Genomic DNA, 12,096 nt, shown 5'->3' on the forward strand with positions numbered 1-12,096 from the left:
AAGGGAAGGGAAAATCAGCCATGCCTGTTGATGTGAGGATCTGAAAAGTCACATTGCAAATAACTGGAAACTAGGAGGAATGAAGGATTTTGACTGTTTTTGTTATCTATCCTAAGAACAACTAATGAGAAGATACAATAAAGGGGAAAAGTTACAGTAGCAAAAATGTTCATGATCTAGGGACCCACTTTCATTAGAAACCCAAATTACACATCTACATGCACATAATATACACATACAGGAAGGCTTGTGACATAGGTTATGTGTATATGTTACACTTTTATTGAGCCAAAACTTCTTGCAGTGAAACACAAAATAGATTATACAATTTCATTAATTTTGATATATTTGTATACCTATGTAACCATCATTCTAGTCAAAATGCAGAAAGTATTTCCATACCCATTTCCAGTGAATCCCTCATAGAACTGCTGTTTAATTTGTATCATCATAGGTTAATTTTGCTTCATACAATAGAAATGTTCCAAGGTCAATCTTCTACATTAATTTTTGATGCAATACTAAATAATTTAAAATGTAATTTAAGAAATTTACTTCAGAAAGTAAATATTAAGAATGCCTCTTATGTAAAAAAAAAATTACTATGTATATTGCAAATAATCAAGAAATATTTTGTAGATCCATATTGATTTTAATCTATACAATTGCCAACATAAATTACTGAAAAAGAAATTTAAAAAATTTTATTTCTCTCTGCTTAGTTCCCCATTTAAAAGTGGTATGTCAATGGCAAGTCGGCTTTGTAAGGCTGCAATGTTAAGTCGGTTTAACCTGCTTGCCAAAGAAGCTAAAAAAGAATTACTTGAAGCTGGTACATATCATGCAGCTAAGGTAAGTCCTTAAAGGAATAAAGTTATCATAGGAATAAAATTTAAGACATTAATGTGGTCATTTTAAAATGGTTATCCTTAGCAAAAGTTTGTTGAATACTTCCTGAATATAAGATATTACCAGGTAATGGTAAAATTGGTTTTTAAATGAACATGTCAGAAATTAGATATGTAAATAAGTATTGCCATTTAAAGTAGCCATTTTAGTATGGTATATACTTATTTTGACAGTGTAGGTTACATAGCACTTAAAACCTGCTATGTCATACCAGAGAAACAAAATGTTAATAAAATTTATTCTGTATATGGTATTAATTGTACTAACTATAGAATGTTAAGTATTCTAAAAGAATATATTATTTAAGATATATGAATTTTTCTATTTTAAAGTTGTGAGAAAAACTTTAATTTCAGCATCTTGATTTGAACCTGATTTAGTAGGTAAGGTACATAGCCTTTTTTTCTCTCTTCCAAAATATATTTTACATAAACATAATGTAAGTTTAAGTCAAAAATTTGAAGAAGTTTTAAAAATACAGAAAAAATATTATTAATACTTGTAATTCCACTTACTATTCAAAGTTAATACTCAGTCTTTTAATGTGAGCATGTTATTTCAGTTCCTTCTCATATATACGTATTTGTGTATGTATCTGTTTAAAAATAAGGCCATATTGGGTATGGTATGTTTTAATCTACTTTTTCTTTCTATGTGATATGACATGAACATCCTTTTTTTTTTTTTTTTTTTTTGAGATGGAGTCTCACTCTGTTGTCCAGGCTAGAGTGCAATGGCACGATCTCAGCTCACTGCAACTTCTGCCTCCTGGGTTCAAGCAATTCTCCTGCCTCAGCCTCCTGAGTAGCTGAGATTATAGGTGCACACCACCATGCTGGGCTAATTTTTGTACTTTCAGTAGAGACGGGGTTTCGCCATGTTGGCCGGGCTGGTCTTGAACTCCTCACGTCAGGTGATCCACCCGCCTCAGCCTCCCAGAGTTCTGGGATTACAGGCTTGAGCCACCGTGCCTGGCTGACATGAACATACTTCCATGTTACCATTATTAAATATTAAATGTAAATTGTTTTGCTATCCTAATGCCAATAATGATACAGCATTATATGAAAGTCTTTTAATTTTACCAATTTTACCAACTTAATGCTCAACCTGTATAATTACAGCCTGTAAAGCCGTTACATTAATTACAGGTGTATGTATACATAATCACATATTTTTAAGTATAAAAGCTTTTCTAGACTATTTCTAGTTTTGTGGCATAAAGAAGTTGTAAATCACTATAAAAACAAGTAGAAAACCAGACAAAATTGTCAAAACTTCCTTCCATAACTCTGGACATTGACAAAAGGCAGAAAAAACATTAAAAAGTGTGTATTCCTCACAAACTCTTATTATTAGCTGGACATGGTGGCCCACAGCTCTAGTTCTGGCTACTTGGGAGGCTGAGGTGGGAGGATCACTTGAGCCCAGGAGTTCAAGGCTGCTGTGAGCTATAATCACACCACTGCACTTCAGCCTGGGGGACAGAGCAAGACCCTATTTCTCTTTAAAAAAAAAAAAAAAAAAAAAAAGAAGAAGAAGAAGAAGAAGGAAAAACTGCTATTACTTTGAGCAAGAATTACAGGAGTACATGGCCTTGCCCAAGGCTTTTCTCATTCATTTTCTCATTCTCATTTTCTTCCTCTCTGCTGGTTTCAATGCCAAGAACTGTAGTTTTTTGACCCAGTGAGGCTACCACCAAAAGCAGCAGCTTTGCTTTCAGAGGAGGTATACTTGATTTGGGACAGGGGAATGAAAGTTTGCAGTTTTGTTGGCTTAAATGCCAAACTTGGTAGGAAATTAATGGGGAAAACTGGTAACTTTGCTGGCCCAAGGTTGCCATCCTGGTTGGAGGCAAGTGGTAGGCCAACTAGCAAGTTAACAAGGAGATTTGGAAAATGAGAGAGCCCTGAAAGGGCTGAGGTAAATTCTTCATATTTTCCTGGCTGACTGAAAAACTACACTCATGTGCAGGGAATACCCAAGAGAGCCCATCAAGGATACAAGCCAAGGGATACTTGAGAGCTGACTGTAACATTCAGTACATTCTCTTTCACATACAAGTTGATCAGAAGATGGTAGAAGTTTTACAAAGGCTTAATGTGTTGATTTCTTATTAGCAACAGTGGAGGCCATCCCAAAATAGCCAAAAAAATTTGAAAAAGAAAAAAAGTTGAAAAATACATAGTTCTTAATTTCAAAACTTTCTATAAAACTACAGTAATCAAGACAGTGTGGTACTGGCATATAGACAGTGGAATATAATTGAGAGCCCAGATACAATAAGATATTATGTCAAGTGAAAGAATGCATAGGCCCCATATCATATGGTTTGATTTATATGAAATGTCTATTATAGGCAAATGCATAGAGACAGAAAATAGTGGTTTTCAGGTGCTAGAGGAGGAAGAATTAGGAGTGACTGCTAATAGATACAAAGTTCTTTCTGGGATGATGGATAAGATCTAAAATTAATGGTGATGGCTGCACAAATTATTGAATATACTGAAAGCTGAATTGTACACTTTAAAGGGTAAATTTTGTGACTCGTGAATTATATCTTAACAAAGCTGTCATAAAAGAGACAGTGGAGGCCCAAAGGGCAGTATAATGGCAGGTTCAAGGTGCTGAAGGAAAAATCCTGGCAACCAAGGATTCTATGTCCAGGAAAATAATCCTTCAGAAATAAAAGCAAAATAAGAACATTCACAGGTTAAACTAACGTTAAGAAAATGTGTTGTTAGCAGTACTTCCCTAAATGGAATTCCAAAGAAAGTACTTGAGGCTTGGAAAAAATTATACCAGATGATAGCAAATCCACAGGAAGGAATAATAAATACTGAAAATGATAATTATGTGGATAAACATGAGACCTATGAGTATGTGTGCGTGCATGTCTATATATTTGCTCTTATTTTCTTTCTAAAAAGTTGTTTAAAACAACACTGTGTTGTTGAGTTTATGACTTAGATGCAGTATATATGACAATATAACAAAGGATTTGGTAAGAAATCGCTCTATATTGAAATAAAGTTGCTGTTTTACCATAAGCCAGTATGAATCTGAAATCAAATATGTAAGGTAAAGAGGTATATTGTAATTCCTAATGTAACCATGAAGAAAATAAATGAAAAACTATTGATAAAATACCAACAGAAGGATTAAAATAGTTCAGTAAAACATTTTTCTTAAACTATACGACAGTAAGGAAAAAGAAGAGAAATTGTAAAAAGACATAAGATGTGAGAAATACATAGTAAAATGGCAGATATAAATTCACCATATCAATAATTACAATAAAGTAGACTAACTGCTCCAGTCAAATGACAGATTGTCAGATTGGGTTAAAAAAAAGCCTGATTCAAATATATGCTGTCTGCAACAAACACATTTTAAATTCAGTCTCAAATAAATTGCAAGTTATAAGGATGAAAAAAGACCTATCATGTAAATGATAACAAGACAGCTGGAATGTTTATATTAATATTAAATATACATGAAGAGGAGAAATATTGCTAGAGACAGAGCAACATCTTACAGTGGTAAAAAGGTCAATACATCAGAAAGATATGTGTATGTGGGTGTAACAACAAAGCCGTAAAATACACAAGCAAAATCTGATGGAATTGTAAAGTAAAATAGACAATTCAGCAACTGTAGTTGGTTTTAATTCTCCTTTGTCAGTAATTGATAGAACAACTCCACAGAAAATCAGTAAAAATATAGGATATTTGAACACTACCAACCAATCAAAACTCACTGACCTGTAGAAAACACTCTACACAACAGCAGAATATATGTTCTTTTCAAGCCCACATGGAGCATTCTTCAGCATAGGTCATAAAACAAGTCTCAGTAATCTTAAAAGGATTAAAATCATGCCAAGTTGTTCTAACCACTGTGGAATTAAATTAGAAATCAAGAACAGAATGAAATATGAGAAATTGCTATATATTTGGAAGTTAACTTGCCTCTGAATAACTCATGGTTCAAGGAAGAAATTATTAGGAAAACTAAGAAATATCTTGAACTAAGTGAAAGTGAAATGTGATATATTAAAATTTATGGAATACAGGTGGCCATTTGTATCCATAAGTTATGCATCCTCAGATTCAACCAACTATGGATCGAAAATATTTGGGGGAAGAAAAGGAAAAGTAAAAAAAAAAATACAAAAATAAAAATAATACAAATAAAATACAGTATAACAACTATTTACATTGAATTTATATTGTATTAGGTATTATAAATAATCTAGGGATGATTTAAAGTATATGAGAGAATGTACCTAGGTTATATGCAAATACCATGCCATTTTATATAAGGGACTTGAGCATCTGCAGATTTCGGTATTTCTAGGGGGTCCTCGAACCAATTCCCCATGGATACCAAGGAATGACTATATAAATAAGTACTTAGAAATGTATAGCTTTAAATGCTTGTGTTAGAAAAGAATCTTAAAAATCAGTTATTGGAGCTTCCAGTTCAAGAAGCCAGAAGAAGAAGAGCAAATCAGAATCAAAGTAAGTGGAAGGAAGGAAATAATGAAATGTAATGAATCAGAATAGAAATCAGTGAAATTGAAAATAGAAAAAAATAGTAGGAAAAAATCTAAATTTGGTTCATTAAAAAGTTAAACTCGGTAATCCTTTAGCTAGATTAACCAAGAAAAAAATAACAGATAACACAAATTATCAAAATCTGGAATTTTAAAAAAGGTGGTTATCACTACAGACCTTAAGAAGCTTAAAATTATTATAAGGGATTATGAACAACTGTTTGTCAGCAGACACATTAGATGAAATGGACATGTTCCTAGAAAGACACAAATCATAAAAACTGACTTAACAATAGAATATCCAAATAGAACTTAAGAAATCAAATTACTAATTAAATTATTTTCCTAAAGAAAATCTCAGACACATATATGACTTCACTGGTGAATTCTGTCAAACATATAAGCAAACTATAAGACAAATCCTACAAAAGCTCTTTCAGAAAATGGAGGAGAAAACACTTCTCTACTCATTTTACAAGTCCAGTGTTACCCTGGTACCAAAAGTGGGCAAGAAAACCTTACAAGAAATGAAAACTACAAACCAATCTCTCTCATAAAAATAAATGTGAAAATCCTTAGCAAGATATTGACAAACCAAATTCAGCAACATACAAAAAGGATTATACTCCACAACCAAGGTGGTTTATACCAGGAATGCAAGGTTGATTTGAGATCAGAAAATTATTTTATGTAACACACCATATGAATAAATTCAAGTTTAAAATTTGTATAATTATCTCAAAAGACATACAAAATGCGTTTGACAAAGTCCAGCACCCATTCACAATAAAAACACTGAACAAACAAGGAATAGAAGTGAACTTCCTCACCTTCATAAAGGGCATCAATGAAGAGCCTACCATTGACATTCTGCTTAATGGTGAAAAGACTGAATAACTCCTTTCCCTACTCAAGATTGGGGAAGAAGGCGAGAATGTGTGCTCTCAGCACTTGTATTCAACACTGTTCTCTAGGTCCTAGCCAGTGCAGCACGGAAAGAAAAAGAGATTAAAAGGTACCTATACTGTAAAGGATGAAGAAATATTCCTAAATTGTATCATCTTGTAGGTAAAATATACTTTGGCAACTACCAAAAACAAACAACTGGATCATATATGACTTTAGCAAGGTCACAAGATATAAGAGCAATATAGAAAAATAAATTGTTTATATACTAGGAATGAATGCTCAAAAAATTGAGAAAACAGCTTCATCCACAATAGCACCAAACGTGTACATTTGTGTGTGTGTGTGTTCGTGTGTAAACACAGAGGAATAAATTTAACAAAAGAAATGGAAGACCTGTACACTGGAAATGATGAAACATAGATGAGAGAAATTGAAGGAGACCTAAGTAAATGGAGAGATGTACCATCATCATGCATTGGAAAACAGTATTGTTAGGTGTCACTTCTCTCCAAATTAATTTATAGTTTCAATGCAAAATTAAAGTTCCAGCAGGGTTTTGTGTAGAAATTGACAAGCTGATTGTGAAATTGATATGGAAATCCAAAGGCCTTTTTTTTTTTTTTTTTTTTTTTTTTCCTGATGCGGAGTCTTGCTCTGTCACCCAGGCTGGAATGTGATGGTATGATCTCGGCTCACTGCAACCTCTGCCTTCTGGGTTCAAGTGATTCTCCTGCCTCAGCCTCCCGAGTAGCTGGCATTACAGGCACCCGCCACCACGCCCGGCTAATTTTTTGTATCTTTAGTAGAGATGGGGTTTCACCATGTTGGCCAGGCAGGTCTCGAACTTCTGACCTCAAGTGCTCCACCCACCAAAGTGCTGGGATTACAGGTGTAAGCCACCACACCCAGCGCAATCCAAAGGCCATTTAAGAACCAAAAGAATTTTGAAAAAGAAGAAAGTTGGAAAACTTACCTACTTTCAAAACTTACAATAAGGCTATAGTAATTAAGACAATGTATTGATGTAATAATAGAAATATAGATCAGTGGAACAGAAATAAACCTATACACATATGATCAATTGCTTTTGTACAAAAGTGCCAATTCTATGGGAGAATCATTTTTTCAACAAATAGTGCTGAAATGGTGGGATATGTGTGGGTAAAACAATTAACTTAGATCTTTATGTCAGTCATACACAAAAATTAACTCAAAGTGGACTTTAGATCTAACTGTAAGAGCTAAAACTATAAAACTTTCAAATAAAATATGAGAAAATATTTACATTATTAAATATAAATTAGAAAATATTTACATTATTAGGCAAATTTCTTAGATGTGATACCAAAAGTATAACCCAAAAAGAAATTGATCATTTGACTCCAAAATAAAATGCTTGCTTTTCAAAATTCATCATTAAGAAAATGAAAATACAAACTACAGACTATGAGAAAATGCCACTTTGGAAAACAGTTTGGCATTTTCTTAAGATGGTAAATGTGTGATCAGCAATTCCACCGGTATTTACATGCATGTTTATAATAGCATTATTCAGAAAAGCCAAAAACTGGAAGCAATTCAAATGTTAATCAGCTGGTGAATACATAAACAAAATGTGTTATACCCCTACAATGGAATATTATACCCCTGCAATGGAATATTAATCAGCAATAAAAAGGAACAAGCTACTGATACATGAAACAACGTAAATGAACTGAAAGAAGCCTGACATAACAGGATCCTTATTGTGTTAGTTAATTTATATGAATTTTTTAGAAAAAGCAAAACTCTAGAGACAGCAAGTAGATTCATGGTTGTCTGGGTTTAGGGCTGGTACTGGCACCAGGACTGCAGGTGAGTACAGTGGAACTTTTTAGAGGTGAGGGATTTGTTTCACAACTGGACTATGCTGATATTTACATGCCTCTATGAATTCATTAAAAAACACCAAACAATGCACTTAACAATGGATGAATTTCATGGTATGTAAATTGTATCTCAATAAAACCAGCTTGTTAAAAGTTCATTTATATTTTCATTTATAAAAAATGAAAATTCGCCAAAATATTAATGGTGGCTATCTACCACCATTAGTTTTATCTGCCACCATCGAGTTTTGTGATTACCGATAATTTTTATTTCCTTCTTTATATTTTGTCTGTTTTTCAAATTTTCTGCAATTAGTATGATTAATCTTTTAATTTAAAATGTTAAAAAAAAAAAAGAACAAGAAGAAAAACTGGCCAGGTGTGGTGGCTCATGCCTGGCCAGAGCTTTGGGAGGCCAAGGTGGGAGGACCACTTGAGGCCAGGAGTTCAAGACCACCCTAGGCAACATGCAAGACCTTGCCTCTGCAAAAAATAAAAAAAAAATAGCAGGGCATGGTGGTGCATGCCTGTAGTCCTAGCAACTCAGGAGGCTGAGGCTGGAAGATGGCTTGAGCCCAGGAATTCAGTGATCATGCCACCATACTCCAACCTGCATGACAGAACAAGACCTTGGCTCTTAGGAAAAAAAAAAAAAGGAGAATAATTGCTCTTTAGGAGTGTTGGGAAGGAAATTTTTTAGCTTCAAAAATATTAAAATATAGGAATTAAAAAAGACTTTGATTAACTTTTTTAAATTTCAAGCTAAAGAAACAGTATTGGGGCTACTTTTCAGCAATCAAATGCTGCCTATTTTCTATAATTCATTTTTTCTTTCTTCTCTAGTGTATGTCTGCCTCCTATCAAGAAGCTAAATGTAAGTTGAAATCCTACTTACAACAACATGGCTATGGATCCTGGATTGTGAAATCTCCCTGCATAGAGCAATTTAACATGTGAAATAGGCAATCCATTATCACATTAAAAATCTTGTTTTGTTTGGTGTGTTTTGACTAGTAAAAATGTTTTTAAAATATTGGTGGTTTTCAACTTTCAGAATCAGAGTCTTATTCAGCAATGTGCAATGATTGCTGAAAATTTCTAAATATTCCTGCCAAATTACATTGAAACATTAGGGCTTTTTACTTTTTCATTTTCTCAGAAAATGACTTACCTGTTTGAATATGTAGCCATTTTGTATTTATTTTGATAGATATTGTAAAGCCATTTTCCTTTTTGTAGTTTAATAGAGATTTCCTTTTAAGTTTTTGCTTTAAAGCTGTCCATATGGCTACCATATTCAACATTGTATCCTGGCATCTCACTCAGTTTTTTAAAAATTAAATATTGGAAGTCAAGAATAAAAATAATGATTTGTACTCATTGATGAATTCAACAAACATTTGACTGCCTAATATTTGCCAGTCACCATGCTAGGTGTTAGTAAAGAAACAATACCTGAAACAGCTCTCATGTTAAAGGAGTTCATGAATGCAAACTGCACATATAAATGTAGAAAAATATTAACCATGTTAAGGAATAGTTTGATAAAGTAGTTATTCTATTAATAGAGGATTATCGTATGTGCATTAAATAAGATTGCCCATTTTCAACTGTTCTACAAGATCTATCTGTACCAAATGTGATTTAATTATTTATAATTTAGATTAACAGGGATTTCTAAGTCAGTAAAAGACTGCTTAGCTTTATATCTGTATGTGTTTATACAGTGATTAGAAAGAAAAAAGGGAAAGTTTACTTACTTTTGAGTTAGGATAAGTATCTTTAGTGAAATTGTTTGTCCCTTACTTCTACATCCTATTCCTTGGTTTACAATCACAGATATATTAAACATGATTGGTTCTCAGAGTTTGTCCCCCTTACCTTAGATCTTTACTAAACTTATAAATCTCACAACTACCCCACATGAACTATTATAATCACAGACGAGGTTTATATAAATTGTTTTGGTTTATTGTCTGTTCTAAAAGTATGGTAGAATTTAGTTAATGAACAGTGAAGTCATGCTGGAAAGACATCTTTCAGTAATCTAAACTCTACTGATACTAGGTTGAATCATGTGAAGTTGCCTTTTTGGTGGATTAAAAAGGATCAAAATATGGGCAGTTTCATGTGGATTAAAATAAACACAATATTAATAAATTCCATTTCCATTAGTTACATAGTATTTATTGCTTATTTCTGCAACTGCTATTTCCCTCTTAAATATTTTTATTTTCTTTGCAGGGCTGTTTCTTTTCATAGCAAATGTTCAGCCTTCTATTATTTCACTTCTTGATAGTAAATTTGCCTTTGAAAATACAAGATCTTTCACCTTCTCTTGGCTCTTCCACCTTCTCTTGGCTCTTCCATTCATAAGTATTTTGCTTTTAGCTGACACTTATAAAATGTGGGAAAGCACCAAGTACTTTTATTTGTGTCTGAAAGTTCTGCCTCATTAGTAAAAAGCCCAGAGTTAAGCACTGCCATGAGGACCAGTAAAAGACAATTTATTTCCTCAAGAAATTTGCAGTTTTAAGGGAAAGATAAAAATGCCCAACTGCTTTATAGACAAAATCTACTAAGTACCACTCATTTATTCAACATGTAGTCGCTGTCTCTATATACTATGTGTATTCAATTATATGTGGTGTTTTGGTTTAGAGAAAGGAAGGATTTTGTCTAGATAAGGGATATCAAGAGAGACTTCATAAAGGATAAAGGAGATGGCATGGAGTAGAAGGCAGTCATTTAGTAGAAAGGTCAGGAAATGGACGTGAAGCCCAACATTTGCTTTTATGGCTGAGACTACTGTAAATCATTTAATCTCTCTTCAGTTCTTTATCTTTGCAAGGATGAAGTTTAGACTAATGATTTTCATTCTTTGTTCAAGGATAAAGGCGTGGGAAGGGCTCCGGGCTGCCCTTCGTCAAAAACAGCTGTGCTTTTCATCTCTCATATGTTATGTATTGAAGTTCTACAAGATAGTTTGCTTGAAGAAAACCAAACTTCTAAATTCAGACTTCTAAACTTCCACTTTTAAAATTGTTCAAAAACCACTAAATTGCTCATTTCTAAGTTTAAGCCCCCTTTTAGCTCTCAGGTGATCTAAGGCAAGCACTGAAGGATGGGTAAAATTTGGTAGGCTGAAATGGGAGAGAAAATGCATTATATTTGGAAATAATAAAGATTAGAGATGAATTGTGTTCAAGATTAGAGAAGAGAAAACTAGAAATTTAGGAGGCCATGATAATAGCCTACATAATAGATAATGATGACCCAAACCAGGGTTGTTACCATTTATAAAGAAGATAAATTCAAATAACGATGGGATGCTAGGCAATGAAAACAGAATATATGAAATAAAGGAGATGGACTAGACAAAGGTAACTCCATGACTTTGAGCTGGGTGACTGGAGGTACCATTACTACAAGTAGAGAAGTCAAGAATGGAATATGATTTGGCTGAAAAGATTTGAAGTTTTGACATTTTTAAGATGGTAATAAGATGGTTAATTGGAGATAGATAGCAATAAGAAATATGGTAACAGAGACCTTAAGAAAGTTTTGGACCTTTGGTAAAAGGTTGGGAAATCAGTCGTTCGCAAATATTATGCAGATAATTAACGGTAATTATTGAAGTTGTGAGAAAAGATGTTTGCCTCTTCAGGGAGTATACAAAGAGGATTAGGGCTAGAACCTCAAGGAACACTCAAATATTGGATTTGGAAAAATAAGGAAACATGGAGTTATTTGACAGGTAAGTGTAGAGTGAGGATAGCACAAAGAGAATAAAATAAGCATTCTAAAGTGCTGCAGAGGGGTCAAGGAGAATGAGAACTATAAAAATAACTT

The 12,096-nt window shown here is 33.3% G+C and overlaps 1 protein-coding gene across 10 annotated transcripts in view; it reads left to right on the forward strand.

Moving 5' to 3' along the window:
• Positions 1–9,246, forward strand: part of ADAD1 (adenosine deaminase domain containing 1) — a 50,774-nt gene extending 41,528 nt beyond the window's left edge. For all 10 annotated transcript variants that reach the window (NM_139243.4, XM_005262743.4, XM_024453888.1 and 7 more), the window contains 2 exons: positions 723–852; positions 9,088–9,246. In NM_139243.4, the coding sequence (NP_640336.1) occupies positions 723–852; positions 9,088–9,201 (244 nt within the window). In that variant the 3' untranslated portion in view covers positions 9,202–9,246. The remainder of the gene's footprint in view (positions 1–722; positions 853–9,087) is intronic.
• Positions 9,247–12,096: the final 2,850 nt, after the last annotated feature.

Source organism: Homo sapiens, chromosome 4 (genome assembly GCF_000001405.40).
Source record: "Homo sapiens chromosome 4, GRCh38.p14 Primary Assembly".
Taxonomy (NCBI): domain Eukaryota; kingdom Metazoa; phylum Chordata; class Mammalia; order Primates; family Hominidae; genus Homo; species Homo sapiens.